We start from the raw sequence: 25,835 nt of genomic DNA, 5'->3' as shown, positions 1-25,835 counted from the left end.
CTTTTATATTCCTCACCACTGCCTATATCATTGCCAGCACTGGGTAAGATTAAGGGCCTTCCCCTGTGACTTGGATTTCTAGGTTCCCCAATGGAGAGGTGTATATCCTGGAGGCAGTCTCTCCCAACTCACACTCTGAGGACTTACAGTTTTTTGCCTGGCTCATGGTGTAGGCTGCTGCCCACTGCTTCTTTCAAAGGGTCTTTGGATTCTTTCAGCTTTCCTGTTAAATCCCTGCATTGCTTCTTTAAAAAAAAAAAAAAAAAAAGCAGTGTGAATCTCTACACGCTATTTTGTCTTTTTAAATGAGAGAGGCATGCTAATACTGCTTCCAATCTGCCATCTTAGGAAAAAATAAACAATTTGAATTTGAATCTCGATGAAACTCATTTTCCTTCTTCTCTCCTGGATAAGCATGATCAGGCTCTGGATTGGCGTTGAAGTCCCAGAGGTCTTACCTGGGGTAAGAATTAACTGAAATGTGTCCCTGGAAAAGTGGTGTGAAGCTGAGGCAGGAGAGAAAATAAAAAGTAAGTGAGAGACAGAGACCAAGAGAGTTAATATCTTGATATCAGATAAAGGGAGAGATTCCAAAATCAGTAGAGCAAGAAAGAAGATTCTGATTGTTAGAGAGACAGGAAAGATTCCATAGTTTACCAGACACATAACTATATAACAGTCTGCACTTTAAGGCACTGGAATGAGGCAGACACCATTGACCAAAGAGTTGACCAGTGCCTGTCCAGTAGACTGTTCAGTTGTTGGGGAAAAGGAGGGACCCCCTGATTAACATACAGTTTTTTCCAAGGAAGTAGATGGATGTGAGAATTTCCTTCCTCACCACCAAGAAGGAAATAGTATTGGAAGACACCTCCAGTCTTCTTCTATTTTCATTAAATTTCTCCCATTCATGAAGGAAGAATGATATTTCTGATTGATGAAATTGGAGCAGAGGTAAACTGTGTCCTGGCCTTTCAGATCTTGCTATTTCTGTCTTGGATCTATTGGCACTGATTTGGAGTAAATTCATTTTTCCTATTCCTGCTTATTACAGTTGGCCATCAGTATCCCTACCCACCTTGCACCAGACACAGACTGTATTAGAGAAGTTTCACTTCTGCAGTTGTACTGCATTTGATTAGATGGATAGATTGATAGATTCAATTCAGTGAGGAAGGAATTGCAGTATTATCCAATACAGCTTTATTAGGAAACCTGAACTTTAGATTATAAGGTGGATATCACATTGTAATCCCTATTTGCTGAATTCTGTTGATCCACACTTTATATCACATGACTCCATAGGTTGGGTTTGGAGTATTAGTAGTCTAATTTCATTACCACTACCACTCCCCACTAATCTAATCTACTAGAAATGAGTCATAGATGGGAGGGCAGAGTGGGACTGGAAGGTTTTCTGATGCCGTTCAAAGTATGCACAGGTCATTCTTTTCCATGGGAGAAAAAAAATGGGTCACAAAGAATTAGGATAAATGTCTTTTCTCAAAAAGAACCAATTTTAAATTATGTTCCTGGATGTCACATACAGCTAAAACCTTAAATTCCCATCCAATCTCATATTTCTAAAATATTGATGGTAAAATACAAATTATCTACTAAATGCACTAAAACTAATATGATTTGAGAGGACTGGAGACAGGCTGGGAATTAATTTTGAAATTTTCAAAAGATGCCTATTCATCTTTCTATGTACTAATCAATAGAGACATTTTCTATGCTCCTATTTTCTAAAAATAAAGTCATTTTCATAGAGAGATGTCAGAGAGCAAATTGATCAAAGACTAACAATAAAAAGAATATAAATGTACCTTGTTGGGGTGAGTGGGTTGGTGTCATGAGACTTGTATTAGATCCAACTTAATTAGCAGCTTGACTTTCTCTTAGAATAGTGTAAATAGTACAGGAAATTTGTAAATTAGGCCAACTTGAGAGATTTAGCACATTCTAAGAAAAATAGATAAATTGATCAGAAAAGGAAGTGGGAAAATTACTACAGAACAAATATATTAAATATTCAATGTACAGCATAGACTATAAGAGCAATTATTTTAACAGACTTAGAGTTTTACTCTAAAACAGAATCATCGAAGATTACTCTTTATGGCAAATGTGGCCTTTAACCTATGAACATTTTACAAAATTCTACATGACTAAAGCTTTCTCATTCTAATAGTTTTTTTAACAGATTAATTTAGATATAACTCACATTCTATAAAATTTTCTCAGTGTACAAATTGGTTTCTAGCATATTTACAAAATTATAAAACCATTGCTACAATCTACTTTTACACTATTTCCATCACCCCTAAAAGAAACCCTGGAAACCATTACTCCATTTTCTGTTTCTGTGGATTTGCCTATTTGGAACATTTCACATAAATGAAATCACACGATATTTAATGTTTTGTGGTTGGTTTATTTCACTTAGCGTAATGTTCTCAAGGTTCATCCATGTTGTGGCATGTTACCCATGTTTTATTCCATTTTATTGAGAAGTAAGTTTTTGCTTTATTAATATACCAAATATTATTTTATCCATTATCAGCCGATGAACAATTGGATAGTTTCTATGTTTTTGCTATTATAAGTAGGCTGCTGTAAATATTTGTGCACAAGTTTTTGGGTGGATACATGCTGTGATTTGGATATATGCTTAAGAGTAGAATTGCTGCATCATGTGGCAACTCCATGACAACATTTGAAGAACTGCCAAACTGGTTTCTAAAATAGCAGCACAATATTATATTTTCAATAGCAATGCATGGGACGTCCAATTTCTCCACATCCTCATCCACACTTTTTATTGCCTTTTTTATTATAACCATCCTAGTGGTTATGAAGAAGTTCTCTTAATGTGGTTTTGACTTGCCTTTCTCTGATGACTACTGATGTTCAGCACGTTTTCCTGTCTTTGTTTGCCATTTGTATATATTTTGGGGGAAATTTTTATTTATATCCTCTTTGTTCACTTTTTATTATGGAGTTGTAATGGGTCCTTATATCCCTGACCCAAACCTCTTATCAGGTGACTTGAAAATGCTTTCTCCCATTATGTGGACTGTCTGTTCACTTGTTTGATGGTATTGTTTGCAGGTCAAAAGTTTTACATTTTAAAGTACAACACAACTAATTTTTTTTTGTTCCTTGTCCTTTTGGTGTCACTTTAGGAACCAACATGCCTAACATCAGGTCACAAAGATTTACACCTACATTTTCTTCATAGAGTTTTATAGTTTAGCCCACACTTTTAGATCTTAGATCAATTTTGAGTTTTTTGTTTGTTTGTTTATTTGTTTGAGACGGAGTCTCGCTCAGTCACCCAGGCTGGAGTGCAGTGGCGTGATCTCGGCTCACCGCAAGCCCCGCCTCCCGGGTTCACGCCATTCTCCTGCCTCAGCCTCCTGAGTAGCTGGGACTACAGGCGCCTGCCACCATGCCCGGCTAATTTTTTTTTTTTGTATTTTTAGTAGAGACGGGGTTTCACCGTGTTAGCCAGGATGGTCTCGATTTCCCGACCTCATGATCCTTCCGCGTCGGCCTCCCAAAGTGCTGGGATTACAGGCGTGAGCCACTGCGCCCAGCCTTGAGTTTCTTTTTCGCTTGGCATGGGTTGGAGTCCAACTTACTCTTTATCAGGTGTTTACCCTGTTGTTCGAGTACAGTTTGTTGAATATATTTTTCTCATTGAATTGCCTTAGTACCCTTGTCAAAAGTCAATTGACCATAAATGTAAAGCGTTATTTCTGGGCTTGCAATTCTATCTCATTTCTCTCTCTCTCCCTTTATAAATATATAAATTATTGATATATTTGTGTATATATGTATTATGTATATAATATATGCATGTATATATATGTATCTCAATGGGATGGAATATACCACTGAGATAACAAGCATAACAAAGGTAATGGGTAAGAATGGGATTTTAAAAATGCATGTATTTATTCTTATGCCAGTACCACACTGTATTGATTACTGTAGCTTTTTCTAAGTTTTGAAATCAGAAAATGAGAATGTCCAATTTTCTTCTCCCTTTTCTAGATGCATACAACTATTCTGAGTCCCTTACATTTTTATATATTTGGGAATTAGATTGTCAATATTAGAAAAATAAAAAGAAAACTGTGATTTTTATGGGATTGTGTTGAATTTGCAGATAAATATGTGGCGGAATGCCATCTTAACAATTTATAATCTTCCAATTTATGGACACAGCATGTTTTTAATTCATTTAAATGTTCTTTAGAACCTTTCAACAATGTTTTATAGTTTCAATGTACAAATCTTGAAATTTTTGGTTAGGTATATCCCTAAATATTTTATCCTTTTTTATACTTTTAAAAACAGAACTATTTTTTATTTCATTTTAGACTGTTCATTGACACTTGCATTTTGATCTTGATCTTGTATCCTACACTATTTCTAAATTTGCTTTTTAAGTCAAAAGTCTTTCTGTGGGTTTCTTAGAATTTTCTAAATATACAATCAAGTCATCTCCAAATACTTTTACATTTTAATTTTCAATTTAGATGCTTTTTATTAGTTTTTCTTGCCAAATCGTCCTGTGTACTGAGTTGAACAGTTCATCACTACCCAAAAGAAAAAAAATATGTCCACCCCACTCTCTCATAATTGATCTTAATTGGAAATAAGGTCTTTGCAAATGTAATTAGTTAAGTAAGATGAAGTCATACTTCATTAGGACGAATGCTAGATCTAATGACTAGTATTCTTATTAAGAGGCTGTGTGAAGAAACACAAACACTCACAGAGGAAATATGACCATGTGAAGATGGGGGCAGAAATTTGAATCATGCAGGTATAAGCCAAGGAAGCCAAGGATTTCCGGCAACCACCAGAAGATAGGAGAGAAAAGGAAGGAACCTCCCTTAGAGTTTTCAGAGAAAGTATGGCCTTACCAACACCTTGATTTCTGACTTCTTATTTCTGGGACTGGAGCAGAATACACTTGTTATTTTGGCCACTCAGTTTGTGAAACTCTGTTACAACAGTTTGAGAAACTAATATAGATTTTGATACTGAGAAGCAGGAGCTGCTGTATCAACTACCTAAAAATGTGAAATGGCTTTAGAATTGGGCAGAGGCTAAAGTACTTGATAGAAAAAGCCCAGATTCCTTAGATAAATGGCTGGTAGATATTGTTAAAGATGATTAAAAATGTTTAAAGATGTTAAATATGATTCTGATGAGAACTGAGATAGCTGTGAGGAGCACATTAGAAGAATTTTCTATCACTTTAGAGGATACATGTACCACGAACAGAAAGTTGGTGGAAATATGAACATCAAAGATGCTTCTGGTGAGGTCACACAAGAAAATGAGCAATGAGAAACATGATATTGGAAACTGGAAACTGGAGTAAAGGCAATGATGTTATAAAGTGGCAAAAATGTTGGCTTAATTGTGTTATACTGTTGAATGGAAAGTCAGACTTATAAGTGAGGAATCTGGATATTTATCTGAGGAGATTTCCAAGCCAATTAGGGAGGGTGTTGTCTGGTTTCTCTTTGCTACTTACAGTAAAATGTGAGAGAAAAGAGATAAATTTAGGTAGGGTATGTCACAGGGAAGAAAAGGTTTGATGATTTGGAAAATCTTCAGCCTATCCATATTGTAAAAGTTGCACACTTTCTGGAGATAACACTAAGTGTATGGCTGTACAATATTTTCCTGAAGACATTAGGCATGTGATTATAGAGTCAATGACCAATACCAGTAAAAGTCAGGAATAGAGATGGGGCTACATAGAAAGGATCTCTGGAGAGCCCTCATGTGTAATGGTGTGGATCACTTTTACATTCCCAGAAGGCTGGAAAGGATTTTGAGAATAACGGCAGAAACAAACCTACCTTGAAGATAACAGATTGGAAATAGGGAAATATGAAGGAGGATTATCAGACTTTCAGGATCTGCAAACATAGAATGGGCTATTCAGAAGGCAGGGTTGCCACTGCCTTGCAAGTCTTAGAGGGTAAAACTGCCACCTCAGTGATAGAAGGTGGGACTGCTGCCCTGGTCCCCAGGACAGATCATGAAGCCACAGAGATTGTTCTTAGGTCTTGAAACCTAATGAAAATTTTCTTGCTGGGTTTTGGACTTACTTTAATACTAGTGACTCCTTTATTCCTTTTATTTTCTTGCTTTTATTATGTAAATGGCATCCATGTCTCTTCCACCACTGTATTTTGGAAATAGAGAACTTGTTTTTCAATTTCACAGGTCCACAGGTAGAGAAAAATTTTATCCCAGGGTAGATCAGACCCAGGGTTTCATCCCTACATGTGTTGGATGACTTAGATGAGATTTTGAAACTCTGAGTTGATAATTGAGATTTTGGACTTAGAGTTAATGTTTTAGTGGGTTTAACTGAGTATGTTGGGATGGGATTAATGTATTTTACAGATGGGATGTGGATGAATTGATGGGGTGCAGAGGGTATACTGTCTGGATTGAATAGCATCTCCCCAAAATTCATGATCACAGAGATCCTTGGAAAATGACAACTTCAAAAACATGTAAATTAAAATATTATTAAACATTTTTGTTTCAATTCTCATTATTAAGTGAAACTATGTGCTATAGGAGCTTGAAAAATCCTCAAGTCAGATACCCTGTTGAGAAAAATATCATAGACAGTTAACATATCAGTTTACTTCCTTAAAATGTTATGGCTGAATTTAGATTATTCTCCTTGATTATGAATAGCTCCCTACTTTGGATAAAGAAATATAATTTGGACTGTCTCTGTAGGGACAAGTCCTACCCTTACTAAATATCCATCCCATTACATATCCAATTCTCTGGTTAGCCCACCACACTCTTCCCACCATTCTGGGTTTATAAAAATGACATCTCTCTACTCATGAACAGAGTTCATTCTACAACATCAGTTGAAACTGCAGAATGTCTCTGACCATCCCAGAATGGTACATACCCCAAATTATAAAAGGATAGGCTGTGCTGCTAATGGCTGCTTATATTCTCCTGTCAAAATTGTAGTTCTTAGGATGAACAGCTAGGTGAGATGAGATAGAACAAGCTTTTAAAAGCTTTTAACAGATGAGTTCTTTGCCTGTTTGTAGCCTATATAGGATCAATAAAAACTTCTCATACACATGCATGCTCAGGCACGTACATACACACGCACACCCCCTCACACACACACCCCCTCACACACACATACACACAATCATGCTCAAGGTAATGAGCACTGACTTATATGATTTTATTTGTACCTTTGCAAATGGTTCTGGTTAGAGGTCAGTGTTGGTGGAGCAAATGCTTGCTTCCGGTATTTACTTTCTAATAGAGGTTATTGGAAAGCTCACTATAGTGGGATTATGAAAAGCTGGTTTAAAATGCTGTAATTCTGTAATTCCCTCCCACTGCTGCTCATCAGACACACACCACACACACACACACACACACACACACACACCCTACATGTTCTCTCTCTCTGTCTTTTTTTCTCAAACATTTTATCATAAAACTCCTGCACTTCTAAAGAACAGGTTAAAAAAAAAAGATTCTGAAGTAAGACAAATCTGAATGTTTACTCTCCTGTTGTGTGACCTCTCAAACTCCACTTTTCTTGTCTATAACATTGAAATAAATAATAATCTTGTAGACTTTTGCTAATTCTTTGTTACAAGTCTGTCTCCTCCCTTAAACTCTTTGTGAAGTTCTATGTCTTATTTCTATTTCTTCAGCATGTAGCATAGTACTGTGTACATACTAAATACTAAAACTTGTTGAATGGAGGCTGGATGATGTTTACATCACATTTGCTTCTTATATAATCTGTCATTTCAAAAATCAAGTTATTTGACTTAGACACTGTTTCCATAATATAAGAACTATAATAAATAATATATAAAATAATATCTTAAGCCCCTGGCATTGTTAATATTCATGATGTCACTGGTTTTTCATGGTAGGGGAAACAAAGATGGTGTTTCCATATGATACTTCCTTTAATTAAATGAATTAAATTTAGATTTAATTTAACAGCCATCGGAAGCTTTTCCCAGTGCTTGCTTATTTGTATCTGAAGTCATTGTACCCAGCTGAGTAAAATTGAATCCAGCAGTATATGCACTACTTATAAAAACTTTAGATTTTGATCTGAAATGTCATGCTAGAGTATAAGAAAGTCAGGCGTGAGGAATACATCATCACTCATGGTTTTTTCGTGATCTACATAGGTATTATTCCCTGATGTTTTTCACCATAATTGCAAGATAATCACTTTTTTTTTTTTTTTTTTTTTTTTTGCATTTTGGGAGAAAATCAGAGTGAGACAAAGTGATACTGGCCTTGACCAAAACACATGCTTTGTATTTACCAAAGTTTACAGCAATACCCTCATGCTCTCTACTGATGATTCATTTTAAAGCTATTCCTGGTTCTATTCATTTCTGCTTTTTATCCAAAATATCTTCAGCACACCACATTGGACTACCTGATTCCTTCCATCTTGGGTTGGAGGAATTAGGAAATAACAGTTCTCATATGTCTTTTTTTTTTTTCTTTTCCCACTTTGGAAATTAATTCCAAGTTTATCTAAGGGAAAGCAAAAAAAGAAGATATGCATATCTATCCCCCCACAGGCTAACAAAGATGCAGGCTTTTTCGCTAATTGAGGATTCAGAGAGAAGACTCGGTGGTGTCATGAGGTGTCATACATACAGGAAACACAAGTGGCAGCTGGTTGCTATTGAGGTAGCTAAATGTGAAAACTCACTAATTAGAGAAATGCAAATTGCAAAGACATATTTTGCTACACCCTGGAGCTATGTTGAAGCAATCAGCAAAGGAGGATCCTGAAAGTGCCCACCTTTTGGAGGAATCTTGGAGCCAACATGGTGTTCATTGACAGTTATTGAATACACACTGAAGTAGCAGCTACTGCTCTAGATACAGAGAGGTTTAAATTGTGAGCAAAGATAGAACTCTGTTAGTCCATTAACGTGAGTGATTTATTTGTGAAACCATTTGATGTCACAGAATCTCCTGTGTTACTGTTCTCTGTCCTGCCTTTGATTCAGTCTCTAGTAGTTCAAGAAGTATAGTGTACTGGGTAAGATAGGGCAGGAAACAGGTTAAATATAAGTGTAGTCGTTTAACTTCTGACCAATTGACTATGAGGAAAATGAAGAAAAAGGGATAAAACTATGGCTAGAGACATGAACAAATTTAAATGTTGATTTTTTTTAACCAAATAAACTGTAGATCTTTTTCCCTCACTGAATTAACTGATTTTTAATGAAATTAAATTAATTGGCTTATGGTTTTAACATCATGCTGCCTAAATGTCTGCCTTCTTGTTCTGAGGACCTAGCTTAGATTCATTGATTATCAGACTATAGGTCAGTGGCTCCTAATTTCAAGTTTGTGTAGTCCATGGATATATTTAAGTTGACAGAGGAAAATCTATAAATACTTCAGGACTCTAGGAAATAGTGTTTGTTAAAATGCATGTGTACAGTTTTCTAAAGAAAAGTTGTATGTCTTCCAATATATATATTTTTATAAGGTCCCTATCCTAGCCTCCAAATTTAAGAAGAGTGCTATTACAGTCTTATCACTAATATAGTTTAGGCAGTCCTTAATAAATGTGTATATCCATTTCTACCCAACTGTACTTACATTTATTTCTGATATAGGGTTTGGTGGAGGTCACCTTACTTTCAATATATCAGAAGAATAGATATCAGACTTCTTGATCTTTACATAGCCCTTAATGCTTTAACCCATATTTCCCTCTAGTATAGAAGTTTCAGGTCTCTGCTATCAATACTGCATCCTGCAGGCTTATTCTCTTTGCCCTAGGAGGCAGAATTTGTGGGATCGTCTTAGCTGTCCAAGCACAGACACATGAGAGAATTTAATGAAGGCCTGCCATTGCCCTGGGGTAGGAAAATATTGCTCCCTCCCAGAGGTATTTATCTTGTTTTTGTTTCTTTTTCTCCATATTTGAACTGCACCGAATCCCAGAGTAGTAAGTGATTTTTTAATTAGCGTAAGTGGCCACAATCCTGAATCTAGAACTTTAAAGGCAGCTTCTATCTAGTGGCTCTACCACTTCCTGACTCTGTGACTGTGACCCATTATTTATCCTGCTGTATCTGAAAAATGAGGGTAATAACTATGTCTTATTTTTACATGGTTATTGAGAAGATTAAATTAGACATATCCAAAAACTGTTGTGAAAAGTAAGTGTTCTAAAAATATGTTTGATTTTATTTATTTTAAAATAGACTGTTGCCTGTTACAAAAACAAAAACAAAAACAAAACAAAACAAAACAAAAGACATTAGAGAACAATTATTTTGGGTCCTTGATTTTTATTAATGAAATGACTCCTGAACCTATTTGGAAACTTGATTTTCTCTGTACCTCTGCTTAAATAAAAATGCCTACCGAGTAATGGGAGAGTGGGTATAGGCATTCAATATTAGTGTTTGAGGAGCAAGGAAAGAAAGTTTTCTGATTTTACTTAAAAATTTTGTATATGTTGTGAAGTTTGTATTATGGACAAAGAAGTGTTACTTCCTAAATTGATATGTTTCTGATTCTACTTCTTATGGATTTCAGGAGAGATTAATCCTATAGCTTTGGCCTCCAGAAAATGACTTTTTAAAAGCTATCTATTTTAAGAATTGGGAGAGCATCACAAGCCCCGTTCATTGAATCCACCTTACAAAATACCATACTCTAATTTGGAATAGCCTCTGAGAGAGGCCGTTGTTGAGGGAAGAGGAAGTTTTCCACAACAGTGAGTGGGGAGCAAATGGAAGCCACCTTACAAAAGATCAGTGCGAGATTCCAACTCGCTAGTTGGAAAAATGGGATTGGTGGTTGGTGCCTACTCAACAACTTTCACTGGGCATAGTATAAGGATCTAAGAAAGCAAAGAAAGTTTCTTTTTAAATAAAATACTTGCATCTTTGTCATATAACCAGAAAATATTGAAAGAAATTTACTGTCTTTATTAGTTAAGAAGAAAGCAATAATTTAATGACCTCTCTTCTTCAGAGTGTTACCTCAGTCTTTACCTTTATAAAACACAGACATCTAAACCTAATTAATTCAGAGGCTACTAATATATAATTTGCAATTTTGGGCCCAATCTGTTGTGAAAGTTACCTATACATTAAATATGAGGAAAATATATACTTCAGCATTTTATATGGTATAATAATGAAGCAAACCTTGCATAGCATTTTATGCATTTCAAAAACGAGATTGTATAAACTGCTTCTTTCCAGATAAGGATTAGTAACACCAGGCGACGTGTCCTATAAATTAAAAGAGTCCAGACTGGAGTTTAACTTATCAATAGTTTACTTTCAATATGTGGAGTAGCAAGAAAATTACATTTCTTAAAAAAAATGTGTTTCATTTTTTTACTTGTTAGACTGTGTTCCCTCCCCAAATTTTATTAATTGGCAAACTTTGAATAAAGATGTTTTATAAAGGAGATAGACACAGGTAGAGAATAATTTAGTAAGTTTTATAAAAAGCTCATATCAAGATAATGCTAAACAAAATTAAGCCTTAAATAATGACACAACACTTACCTCTTGAACCACTCTGCGTGTGTTTGTTTAAAGTAGAGCAACTCCAACATATAGCTACATACACTGCTTCTCTATTTATAAGCAAATTTTCATACTTTCTTTCTCATAATCTTACCAATAGCCTGATTTAAAAAGTAGGGAAGGGGAGGAAATGAACAGTCAGAGGTTACATGAATTGGTCAAGTCATATAGTCTCAAATTTGCTAAGGATGATGCTCTAAATAAATTGTACCAATAGTGAATAACTTCAGTAGTTTTAAGGGCATCAGTTTTTGGAGTCAAACATCTGTATTTAAATCTGTTCTACTTCTTTGTAGTGGTATAATCTTAGAGGAATCATTTCTTCTCTCTGTGCCTCTGCTTTCTTGTCTGTAAAAGAAGTTATTAATAATAAGCTGATAAAAGTTGGGTGTATTAACAAAATAACATAAGAATGTTCCAAGCAGTGTGATGTAGTGGAAAAAGCGTCAATATACTTTGGATTTGACTGATATACTTTGGATCTGACTTTCAGTCTGGCCTTTGTTGATTTTTTTGTTTGTACCCTTAGGCAGATTTCTTCAGCTCTCTGTAACCCACCTGTAAGGTGCATAATTATATGGGCAAAATAACTTATACAAAGTGATATACAATATTTGGCATATGATAAGTAGTGCATAAATATAGGTCTTATGCCAACAAGTTTGTCTACACTTCCTTACCTGCAGTTTGTGATGGTGATATTCCATTATAAGTTGGTACAGAGAAGTGACATGGTACTCTTGCATTTTAATATAATGTTTACAGAAATAATTGTAATTATTAAAAATACAAACAATACATTCAAAAAAATTTACAAGAAAAACAATCCTATCAAAAACTGGGCTAAGGACAAGAATAGACAGTTCTCAAAAGATACACAAATGGCCAAGAAACATATGAAAAATTGCTCAGCATCACTGATGATCAGAAACTACAAATCAAAACCGCAATGTGATACCACCTTACTCCTGAAAGAATGGCCATAATCAAAAAATTTAGAAAAAATAGATGTTGGCTTGGATGTGGTGAACAGGGAACACTTCTACACTGCTGGTGGGAATGTAAACTAGTACAATCACTATGGAAAACAGTGTGGAGATTCCTTAAAGACCTAAAGTAGAACTACCATTTGATCCCACAATCCCACTACTGGGTATCTACCTGGAGGAAAATAAGTCATATGCGCAAACAAGAACAGATCCAGTCTGCAGCTCCCAGTGTGAATGACGCAGAAGACCAGTGATTTCTGCATTTCCAATTTAGGTACCTGGTTCATCTCACTGGGACTGGTTGGACAGTGGGTGCAGCCCATGGAGTGTGAGCTGAAGCAGGGTGGGGCATCGCCTCACCTGGGAAGCACATGGGGTCAGAGGATTTCCCTTTCCTAGCCAAGGGAAGCCATGACAGACTATAACTGGACAATTGGGACACTCCTGCCCAAATACTGCAGTTTTCCAACTGTCTTAGCAAATGGGACACCAGGAGATTATATCCTGCACCTGGCTCAGTTGGTCCCATGCCCACAGAGCCTTGCTCAATGCTAGCACAGCAGTCTGAGATCGACCTGTGAGACAGCAGCCCGGCAGGGGGAGGGGCATCCACCACTGCTGAGGCTTAAGTAGGTAAACAAAGTGGCCAGGGAAGCTCAAACTGGGTTGAGCCCACTGCAGCTCTGCAAGACCTGCTGCCTTTGTAGACCGCACCTCTGGGGGCAGGGTATAGCTGAACAAAAGGCAGCAGAAACTTCTGCAGACTTAAATGTCCCTGTCTGACAGCTCTGAAGAAAACAGTGTTTCTCCCAGCATGGTGTTTGAGCTCTGAGTACAGACAGACTGCCTACTCAAGTGGGTCCCTGAGCCCCATGTAGACTAACTGGGAGACACTTCCCAGTAGGGGCTGACTGACACCTCATACAGGTGGGTGCCCCTCTGGGACAATGCTTCCAGAGGAAGGATCAGACAGTAATATTTGCTGTTCTGCAATATTTGCTGTTCTGCAGCCTCCACTGGTGATACCCAAGCAAACAGGGTCTGCCTGGAGTGGACCTCTAGCAAACTCCAACAGATCTGTAGCTGAGGGTCCTGACTGTTAGAAGGAAAACTGACAAACAGAAAGGACATCCACACCAAAACCCCACCTGTACATCACCATCATCAAAGGCCAAAGGTAGATAAAACCACAAAGATGGGGAAAAAAGAGAACAGAAAAGCTGAAAATGCTAAAAATCAGAGTGCCTCTCCCCCTCCAAAGGAATGCAGCTCCTTGAAAGCAACAGAACAAAGCTGGATGGAGAATGACTTTGACAATTTGAGAGAAGAAGGCTTCAGATGATCAAACTTCTCCGAGCTAAAGGAGGAAGTTTGAACCCATCGCAAAGAAGTTAAAGACCTTGAAAAAAGATTAGACGAATGGCTAACTAGAATAACCAGTGTAGAGAAGTCCTTAAATGACCTGATGGAGCTCAAAGCCATGGCACAAGAACTGCATGACGAATGCACAAGCTTCAGTAGCTGATTCGATCAACTGGAAGAAAAGGTATCAGTGATTGAACATCAAATGAATGAAATGAAGTGAGAAGAGAAGTTTAGAGAAAAAAGAGTAAAAAGAAATGAACAAAGCCTCCAAGAAATATGAGACTATGTGAAAAGACCAAATCTACGTCTGATTGGTGTACCTGAAAGTGATGGGGAGAATGGAACCAAGTTGGGAAACACTCTGCAGGATATTATCCAGGAGAACTTCCCCAACCTAGCATGTCAGACCAACATTCAAAGTCAGGAAATACAGAGAACACCACAAAGATACTCCTTGAGAAGAGCAACTCCAAGACACATAATTGTCAGATTCACCAAAGTTGAAATGAAGGAAAAAATATTAAGGGCAGCCAGAGAGAAAGGTCGGGTTACACACAAAGGGAAGCCCATCAGACTAACAGCGGATCTGTTGGCAGGAACTCTAGAAGCCAGAAGAGAGTGGGGACCAATATTCAACATTCTTAAAGAAAAGAATTTTCAACCCATAATTTCATATCCAGCCAAACTAAGCTTCATAAGTGAAGGAAAAATAAAATACTTTACAGACAAACAATTGCTAAGAGATTTTGTCACCACCAGGCCTGCCTTACAAGAGCTCCTGAAGGAAGCACTAAACATGAAAAGGAACAACCAGTACCAGTCACTGCAAAAACATGCCAAATTGTAAAGACCATCGAGGCTAGGAAGAAACTGCATCAACTAATGGGCAAAATAACCAGCTAACATCATAATGACAGGATCAAATTCACATGTAACAGTATTAATCTAAAATGTAAATGGGCTGAATGCCCCAATTAAAAGACACAGACTGGCAAATTGGATAAAGAGACAAGACCCATCAGTGTACTGTATTCAGGAGACCCATCTCACGTGCAGAGACACACATAGGCTCAAAATAAAGGGATGGAGGAAGTTCTACCAAGCAAATGGAAAGCAAAACAAAACAAAAAAAAAAGCAGGGGTTGCAATCCTTGTCTCTGATAAAACAGACTTTAAACCAACAAAGATCAAAAGAGAAAAAAGAAGGCCATTACATAATGGTAAAGGGATCAATTCAACAAGAAGAGCTAACTATCCTAAATATATATGTACCCAATACAGGAGCACCTAGATTCATAAAGCAAGTCGAGAGACCTACAAAGAGACTTAGACTCCCACACAATAATAATGGGAGACTTTAACACCCCACTGTCAATATTAGACAGATTAAGGAGACAGAAGTTTAACAAGGATACCCAGGACTTGAAGTCAGCTCTGCACCAAGCAGACCTAATAGACATCTACAGAACTCTCCACCCCAAACCAACAGAACATACATTCTTCTCAGCACCACATTGCACTTATTCCAAAATTGACCACATAGTTGGAAGTAAAGCACTCCTCAGCAAATATAAAAGAACAGAAATCACAATACACTGCCTCTCAGACCACAGTGCAATCAAATTAGAACTCAGGATAAAGAAACTCACTCAAAGCCACACAACTACATGGAAAGTGAACAACCTGTTTCTGAATGACTACTGGGTACATAATGAAATGAAGGCAGAAATAAAGATGTTGTTTGAAACCAATGAGAAAAAAGACACAACATAGCAGAATCTCTGGGAAACTTTTAAAGCAGTGTGTAGAGGGAAATTTATAGCACTAAATGCTCACAAGAGAAAGCAGAAAAGAACTAAAATTGACACCCTAACATCACAGTTAAAAGAACTAGAGAAGCAAGAGCAAACACATTCAAAAGCTAGTAGAAGGCAAGAAATAACTAAAATCAGAGCAGAATTGAAAGAGATAGAGAAACAAAAAAACCTTCAAAAAATCAATGAATCCAGGAGCTGTTTTTTGAAAAGATCAACAAAATTGATAGACCAGTAGCAAGAATAATAAAGAAGAAAAGAGAGAAGAATCAAATAGATGCAATAAAAAATGATAAAAGGGATATCACCACCGATCACACAGAAATACAAACTACCATCAGAGAATACTATAAACAGCTCTACACAAATAAACTAGAAAATCTTGAAGAAATGGATAAATTCCTCTACACATACACCCTCCCAAGACTAAACCAGGAAGAAGTTGAATCTCTGAATAGACCAATAACAGGCTCTGAAATTGAGGCAATAATTAATAGCCTACCAATGAAAAAATAGTCCAGAACCAGATGGATTCACAGCCGGATTCTACCAGAGGTATAAAGAGGAGCTGGTACCATTCCTTCTGAAACTATTCCAATCAATAGAAAAAGAGGGAATCCTCTCTAACTCATTTTATGAGGCCAGCATCATCCTGATACTAAAGTCTGGCAGAGACACAACAAAAAAGAGAATTTTAGACCAATATCCCTGATGAATATTGATGCAGAAATCCTTAATAAAATACCGGCAAACCAAATCCAGCAGCACATCAAAAAGTTTATCCACCACGATCAAGTTGGCTTCATCCCTGGGATGCAAGGCTGGTTCAACATATACAAATCAATAAACATAATCCATCACATACACATAACCAAAGAAAAAAAACCCCATGATTATCTCAATAGATGCAGAAAAGGCCTTTGACAAAATTCAATAGCGCTTCATGCTGACAACTCTCAATAATCTAGGTATTGATGGAATGTATCTCAAAATAATAAGAGCTATTTATGACAAACCCACAGCCAATAACATACTGAATGGGCAAAAACTGGAAGCATTCTCTTTGAAAACTGGCACAAGACAGGGATGACCACTCTCACCACTCCTATTCAACATAGTGTTGGAAGTTCTAGCCAGATAAGTCAGGCAAGAGAAAGAAATATAGGGTATTCAATTAGGAAAAGAGGAAGTCAAATTGTCCCTGTTTGCAGATGACATGATTGTATAATTAGAAAACCCCATAGTCTCAGCCCAAAATCTCCTTAAGCTGATAAGCAACTTCAGCGAAAGTCTCAGGATACAAAATCAATGTACAAAATCACAAGCATTCCTATACACCATTAACAGAGAGCCAAATCATGAGTGAACTCCCATTCACAATTGCTACAAAGAGAATAAAATACCTAGGAATCAAACTTACAAGGGATGTGAAGGACCTCTTCAAGGAGAACTACAAACCACTGCTCAATGAAATAAAATATGATACAAAGAAATGGAAGGATATTCCATGCTCATAAATAGGATGAATCAATATTGTGAAAATGGCCATACTTCCCAAAGTAATTTATAGATTCAATGCCATCCCCATCAAGCTATCAATGACTTTCTTCACAGAATTTGAAAAAACTACTTTAAAGTTCATACGGAACCAAAAAAAAAAAAAAACAAGCCCGCATTGCCAAGATAATCCTAAGCAAAAAAAAAAAGCTGGAGGCATCATGCTACCTGACTTCAAACTATACTACAAGGCACAGTAACCAAAACAGCATGGTACTGGTACCAAAACAGAGATATAGACCAATGGAACAGGATAGAGGCCTCAGAAATAACACCACACATCTACAACCATCTGATCTTTGACAAACCTGACAAAAACAAGAAATGGGGAAAGGATTCCCTATTTAGTAAATGGTGCTGGGAAAACTGGCTAGCCATATGTAGAAAGCTGAAACTGGATCCCTTCCTTACACCTTATACAAAAATTCAAGATGGATTAAAGACTTAAATGTTAGACCTCAAACCATAAAAACCCTGGAAGAAAACCTAGGCAATACCATTCAGGCCATAGGCATAGGCAAGGACTTCATGACTAAAACACCAAAAGCAATGGCAACAAAAGCTAGAATTGACAAATTGGATCTAAATAAACTAAAGAGCTTCTGCACAGCAAAAAAAAAAAACTACCATCAGAGTGAACAGGCAACCTACAGAATGGGAGAAAATTTTTGCAATCTGACAAAGGGCTAATGTCCAGAATCTACAAAGAACTTAAACAAATTTACAAGAAAGAAACAACCCATCAAAGAGTGGGCAAAGGATGTGAACAGACACTTCTCAAAAGAAGACATTTATGCAGCCCACAGACACATGAAAAAATGCTCATCATCACTGGTCATCAGAGAAATGCAAATCAAAACCACAATGAGATACCATCTTACACTAGTTAGAATGGTGATCATTAAAAAGGCAGGAAACAACAGATGCTGGAGATGATGTGGAGAAATAGGAATGCTTTTACACTGCTGGTGAGAGTGTAAACTAGTTCAGCCATTGTGGAAAAGAGTGTGGAGATCCCTCAAGGATCTAGAACTAGAAATACCATTTGACCCAGCCATCCCATTACTGGATATACACCTAAAGGATTACAAATCATGCTACTATAAAGAAACATGCACACATATGTTTATTGCAGCACTATTCACAATAGCAAAGACTTGGAACCAACCCAAATGTCCATCAAGGATAGACTGGATTAAGAAAATGTGGCACATATATACCATGCAATACTATGCATCTATAAAAAAGGATGAGTTCATGTCCTTTGCAGTGACATGGATGAAGCTGGAAACCATCTTTCTGAGCAAACTATCACAAGGACAGAAAACCAAACACCGTATGTTCTCACTCATAGGTGTGAACTGAACAATGAGAACACTTGGACACACGGCGGGGAACATCACACACAGGGGCCTGTCGTGGGGTGGGGGGCAGGGGGAGGGATAGCATTAGGAGAAAAACCTAATGTAAATGATGAGTTAATGGGTGCAGCAAACCAACACGGCACATGTATACAAATGTAACAAACCTGCATATTGTGCACATAGGACTTAAAGTATAATAAAAAATAAAAAGTTAAAAGATTAAAAAGTCATTGACAAATGCACATGCATGCATGTTTATAGCAGCACAATTTGCAATTGTAAAAATGTAGAACCAGCCCAAATGACCAAATGCTCATCAACAAGTGGATAAAGAATCCGTGGTATGTATGTATGTATGTATCTCTGTGTGTGTGTGTGTGTGTGTATATATATATATACACACACATACATATATATATGATGGAATACTACTCAGTCATAAATAGGAATGAATTAATGGCATTCATAGCCCTGGATAAGATTGGAGACTATTATTCTAAATGAAGTAATTCAGGAATGGAAAACCAAATATTTTATGTTCTCACTCATAAGTGGGAGCTAAGCTATGAGGATGAAAAGGAATAAGAATGACACAGTGGACTTTGGGGACTCAGGAAGAAATGGTGGGAAGGGAGTGAGGGATAAAAGAGTACAAATTTGGTGCAGTGTATACTGCCCGGGTGATGGGTGCACCAAAATCTCACAAATCACCACTACAGAATTTCCTCATGTAACCAAACACCACCTGTTTTCCAATAAACTATTGGGGAAATAAGGAACTTGTAAAAAAAAATACAAAGCAGCAATTTAGATGACTATGTTAGGTGAAATCTGGGAATTAATTTCTTGTATTTTATCCAGAATTCAGTATTCTTTCATCTTATTTATAATTTTTATTTGCCTTGAACTTAGAACTTGAATTTAGCTCATATGGGGTTTGCACCAGAGATGTATATGGTGATTTCAGCCAGAATCAGAACTCATAGTCTCCAGCATTTCAATTTTGTTTCCCCAGGTTGGCTATAAGTTCTACAGAGTCCAGGGATTATAGAACGCCAATGGCATTTTGGCCACAATAAATCTAATACTGACTGCAACATCACTGTCACCACATTCCTGAGAAGATTACTTCTTTTTGGAGATATCTGTAAGTAATCTATTGTAATGTCATAAACATGTGGGAGCCCTTGCCTACTTCATCATTACATCATGCCAGTTCTTTCTCTGAAATATGTTAAGGTAGATCACTTCTCTCCATTTAATTTCTACCTCAACACCTGAATTTTACATTCCTTATAACTTTTTTTGTGTTAAGCTTCTAGTTTTTGTTCTAATAAGATATTCTATATTCAGCAATAAATAGAGTCTAGTTTAGGCACAGTGTAGAATATCACTTCAAAATTTTGCTCAGAAACTTATGGCAAGTCTAAGTGAACTCTCAATAAGCATTTAATAATTTCATAAGAAATCCCATTCTTATCCTTACTCTCCTGCTAGGAGTTTTATTGTTCATGCAATCATTCTGGTACATTCTAAACAATCTGTCATCCTGTGGTTTGTCTGAGTTACTTTTGGCATGACAGAAGAGCAAAATTCTTTTTTTTTTTTAACCATGTTTCTTATAGGCCTGTGTGTGTCAACACACATTCAGCGAGCACCTACCAGATGCCTGTCTTTAAGCTAAATTCTGGGCATTCAAAAATGGCCAAGGCATTATCTGCTCTTCAAGTGCCCTCAGTCTAATGGGGAAGTGCAGACAGACTGACAAACTGGACACACTATGAAGAGCGATGTGCTGGCAGCACAGGCAGGGTAAAGTAGTTGGTGGTTGGGAAATGTAGGCAGATCTAGCAGTAGGCAGATCTGTCAACCCAGAAGAACTGGTGTCAATCCTCTTTCTTTAATGGATAAAGATATCTATTCTGGAGCCAGACTAAAGAATAGCATGTCCTCAAACCTACATATGTGTCTATTATATAATAATTATTATTAATCTTAGTCTGTGCTGCTATAAGAAAATAGCTGGGACTAAGCAACTTATAAAGAACAGAAATGTATTTCTCACAGTTCTGGAAGCTGAGATATCTAAGATCAAGTTGCCAGCAAATTTGATGTCTGTTGAATGCTCTCTGCTCCCAAGATGACATTTTCTTGCTGCATTCTCACATGACAGAAGAGTACAAAGAGGGACAAATGCTGTGTCCTGACCTGGTAGAGGAGGTGGAAGGGCCAGGTGGTTCTCGGAAGCCTCTTTTATAAGGGCATTAATCTCATTTATGAGGGTGGAGCCCTCATGATTTAATCACATACTAAAATGCCCCACCTCTTAATACCACCATAATAGGGGTTAAATTTTGGAGGGACACAAACATTCAGATCAGAGCTTTCTGCCTCATTTTAGAAAACAGTTAAAACAGTCTCTGGCATTCAGGTGCCCTCAGTCTAATAGCAAGACACATAGGCAAGCTAATGAACTGGACACACTCTAATGAGTGACATGATGGAGGTACATGCAGGTAGAGTGGGAGCTGGTAGTGGGGAAATGCAGGCAGATCGGTAGTACCGGAAGAGCTGCTGTCAGTTCCTCTTTCTCTAATGGATAAGGATATAAATTCTAGAGCTACACCTACAAAAAGCATATTTAAACTACATATGTTTAAATAGCATATTTACACTCTATGTGTTTATTATTACTATCATTGTTAATCCACATTTCTTCTGTTTTTGAAATATATTTTACACTCTTGTTTTAAACATTTTAGATAAATTGGTGGCTTTCGAGTGTTCTAATTATGATACAATTTGACAAATACAATTTATATTAAGTCCAGCCTATGCAGTCATATATATGTATAGGTATGTACATACATGAATATAATACATATATGTGTGAAGCACTCTAATACTTTCTATTCCATTTCATTCTATTTTTATTCCATTCTGTTAATTATAACCAGAAGAATGACTGTCACAACCTACTGCTTTTAATTTAATGATCTAACAATGGGTTGAGACTTGTAGTCTGAACACACTAATGAGAATAATATGACCAAGTAAATAAGAAATTACATAGTATTATAAGTGCCACCATAGGATGTAATACGTAAAGATGCTAAGAAAGGGTAGAGGAGGGAGTCCTGACAAGCACACTGAGGGCAAGAACCGGGTCCTGGTCATTTTTACTCTATGGTATTTGGCATTTAGTTGGTTCTTCACGCATGTTTTTAAATTAATAAAGCTGGATGAAGTAAGCATCATTACTTGTAAATAATGCTCTAGCATGGCCATTTCTTCTTTCAGTTCCAACGAAGAAGACAAGACTAGGGCATATTTGCCACCACATGTGCCTGCTCTTGGCAGACGTTGTAATGACACCCCTTTTTCTCAAACCTCAGATTCTTTTCCAGTGTAACGATGCAGACATCTGCTACAAATCCACTGGACTAGCATGGGTGATGAAATCTGTTTTTAGGATATTTTGTTATAAATTTATTTTTTGTATGCTACTGGCAGGTTGAACAGAGCCAGGTTCACTCTAAGTCTTTCTTTGAATTGTCCATTTCTCAAAAGCCAAAACAATTGTCTCTTAATTAATTTCCACTCAAAAGAGTGCTTAATATGATGTCTGGCACACAGTGGGTTCACATATTGAGATGGTATAAATTTGTTGTAAATTCAACTCCACTTTCTCATCAAATTGAGACTGTTAAATTGTGAACATATTTTTGGTTTCCTGCTTCATAAAATATGAGCACTCTAATCCCAGATGGCACATCCTCCAGAAACATATGGACAAGACAATTTATAAGGAGTGCTCTTTCAGGAGTCGGCTCCACTTAACAGAGGAGGCTGTATGATTTTGCCAGGACCTTTCAAGCTACTCATCGAGGAGGAAGGTGAACAGGTCTTAGTCATGTAGCCAAGGGATTAAAAAAAAAAAGTTTGCCATAGATCTTGTTTCTTGAAGCATATGTCTTTTCATAATTAGGGATGGAGTCAGGTAGGGTGGGGATTTTTTGTCCCTACAAGTGTAGGGCACACATTTTGTAGATGAATATATAATATGGTCCTTTTTGTAGTGAATATATAATATGGGCCTGTGTGTGTTTTTGTTGTTGTTTGTTGTTGTTGCTGTTGTTGTTACCTATAACCAAAGTAGGCTATACTGGTCATTCCAGTTCATGCTCAGGGAGGACACCTGCAAAGAAAGAAAAGGTACTATTATTTATAGCTCCCCTACTAGATAACACTATCCAAACACTGTTGCATACATTACATCATGTGTTCTAATGCTGTGTCCTAGTGTGTCTCTCATGTTATGTTGAAATATGATCAGATAGTCAGAAATATGACCAGAAATATTATAACTAAAGAGGATGGCTTGGTAGAGATTAAGAAGCCCTAATTGGAAGAATCTTTCTCTGTGTAACATCTCCTTCTACCTGAGAAACAGTGATGATTAAGTTTATGTGTCTACTTGGCTGGGCTAAGAGATGACCACATAGCTGCTAAAACAATATCTCTAGGTGTGTCTTTGAGGCTGTTTCCAGAAGACATTAACATTTGAATCAGTGGACTCAGTAAAGATCTTCCTCACCAATTTGGGGAGGCATCATCTAATTTGTTGAGGACTTGAATAAAACAAAAAAGGCAGAGGCAGGGCAAATTTACCCTCTTTCCTCCCTTTTCTTGAGCTGGGACAACCATCTCATATTCTCCTATCCCTGGACATAAATGGTCCTGGACTATGGTCCTGGATCAACTTACAACGCAAGCCACCCCTACCCACCACCACCCCAGACTGCAGATTGTGAGACGTCTCAGTCTCCATAATTTTGTAGACAGTCTCTAATAATTAATGCCTTTTTTGTATATCTATATATTTCTATTGGTTCTGTTTCTCTGGGGAACCCTGACTAATACAGAAAGTTAGTTTTTTAAGCCAAAAGGTCATTTCAATCCTTTGAGCTTCAGTTGTTGCATCTGTGAAATGGAAAATGATACCAAATTCACTGGATTACTGTAGGGGCTGGAGATTCAGCATGTAACATGCTTAGTAAATCACATGGCACATTATTAATGGTTCAACAAGTATGGATAAGTATACAAAGGTACATAATAGCTGGTTGTTTAGTAAGGATGATAATTAGAGTAGTTATTTCTAAAACCCAAATAACAAAAAGAAAATCTTTGCCTACTATATAGTTCTACACAAAATGATTTGGAAGCCCAGAATAGGGAATATTGAATTTGGGGAAGACTAGACAATTTTCGTGGAGGAAAAGTAGAAATTAACTTTGGTTTTGAAGTGTGACAGTTGTCTTCTAGTCAGGAAAAAAGCAAGGTAGAGTTATGTCACTGCAGATAGGGTGAACAACAGAAGTAAAGAGATAGTAAAAGAAAACATGGTACATTCTGGGGAAAATGGAATTTTTTATGTATTAGACAGGTTATATTCATGGTATATAGTGGTTGCAGAAAATACAATATACATTGATGGCTGTCAAATAATAAGAAACCCTATACACTATGCTAAGGGTTCACACTTTGCCCTGGCAATGGGAGTAGTAGGGTCAGGTCTATGTTTCTATTTACTAACATACAGTTTACAGGGTTAAAAATCTGGTCTTTTCTTGTTGTGTCAACAGAGGTAAAAAAAAAAAAAAAAGCCTCAAGTCTGTTCTTAGGAGCACAATGTTTCAATGCCTGCCAGATATAAATAAAATGAGTTACATAAAAATATGCCTGACTTATCTGTAAACAATCCATTATTAATATAGTGAGAACAAATTCCATTTTTGGCTTTCCAATATAACTTTTGTATATAATTCCCAGTGACAGAGCTGGGATGTCTTTCTTATGTATTTTACTCTAGTGCCTGTAATATTTACAGTAAGCTATGCTACCTTCTATTGTGAACATCCTCTACAATGCTTGGTGCACACTAGGTGATCAGTAAGTGATGCTGCATAAACATTGGAGGACTTCAATGGACTCTTTCAATACATCCCTTCACCCCCATTGTGTCTGCACTCCCAGGAAGCTTCCTTGATGTTGCTTTTCCTTTTAGGCCGATGGTAGCTGGAGCTGGGGCAGCTATTTATAATTCTTAAATTGCGTGGGACACTGTCTCTTAGAACGATAGTGAGGACAGTGTCCCAGACATTTTGCTATATGCCAGATCAGACAGTCTGCTAAGATGTTTTTCCAGGTCCCTGTAATCCCATGACTAGTATTTGTAGGAGATTTAAATCATGTTTGCATGGTTTAGCAAGATGGAATCAGAGAAATAATGTTTAAGCTTTGAGCATTTCAGTGGTTCACAAACACATCACAGCTTCTATTTACTTTCCATTTAAAACACAAGTTGAAGAAGTCCACATAGTTAAAAATCCTCACAGAGGCAACAGGCAGAGAGAGTTACCTAGTACTTGTTATACTTTCAGCACTGTACTAAGTACATCATCCATTAGTTTTTTGAATCCTTACAATTACCATGAGATGTAGATATTAATTGTTCCATGTTTCTGATGGTGAAACAGAAATATAGAGATGTTAAATAACTTGTCTGCAGTCTTGCAGCTATCATTCAGGACATAGGCATGGGCAAGGACTTCATGTCTAAAACACCAAAAGCAATGACAACAAAAGCCAAAATTGACAAATGGGATCTCATTAAAGAGCTTCTACACAGCAAAAGAAACTACCATCAGAGTGAACAGGCAACATACAAAATGGGAGAAAATTTTCGCAACCTACTCATCTGACAAAGGGCTAATATCCAGAAGCTACAATGAACTCAAACAAATTTACAAGAAAAAAACAAACAACCCCATCAAAAAGTGGGCGAAGGACATGAACAGACACTTCTCAAAAGAAGACATTTATGCAGCCAAAAGACACATGAAAAAATGCTCATCATCACTGGCCATCAGAGAAATGCAAATCAAAACCACAATGAGATACCATCTCACACCAGTTAGAATGGCAATCATTAAAAAGTCAGGAAACAACAGGTGCTGGAGAGGATGTGGAGAAATAGGAACACTTTTACACTGTTGGTGGGACTGTAAACTAGTTCAACCATTGTGGAAGTCAGTG

The 25,835-nt window shown here is 37.0% G+C and overlaps 1 long non-coding RNA gene across 1 annotated transcript in view; it reads left to right on the top strand.

The window, feature by feature from the left end:
• The window catches only part of LOC107984371 (uncharacterized), a 63,332-nt gene extending 43,265 nt beyond the window's left edge, over positions 1–20,067 (top strand). The window contains exon 3 of the long non-coding RNA XR_001748074.1: positions 19,750–20,067. This is a non-coding gene — a long non-coding RNA (uncharacterized LOC107984371). The remainder of the gene's footprint in view (positions 1–19,749) is intronic.
• Positions 20,068–25,835: the final 5,768 nt, after the last annotated feature.

Source organism: Homo sapiens, chromosome 11 (assembly GCF_000001405.40).
Source record: "Homo sapiens chromosome 11, GRCh38.p14 Primary Assembly".
Taxonomy (NCBI): Eukaryota; Metazoa; Chordata; class Mammalia; order Primates; family Hominidae; genus Homo; species Homo sapiens.
The sequence above is the reverse complement of the archived record's forward strand: the minus strand, read 5'-3'. Positions and strand labels throughout refer to the sequence as shown.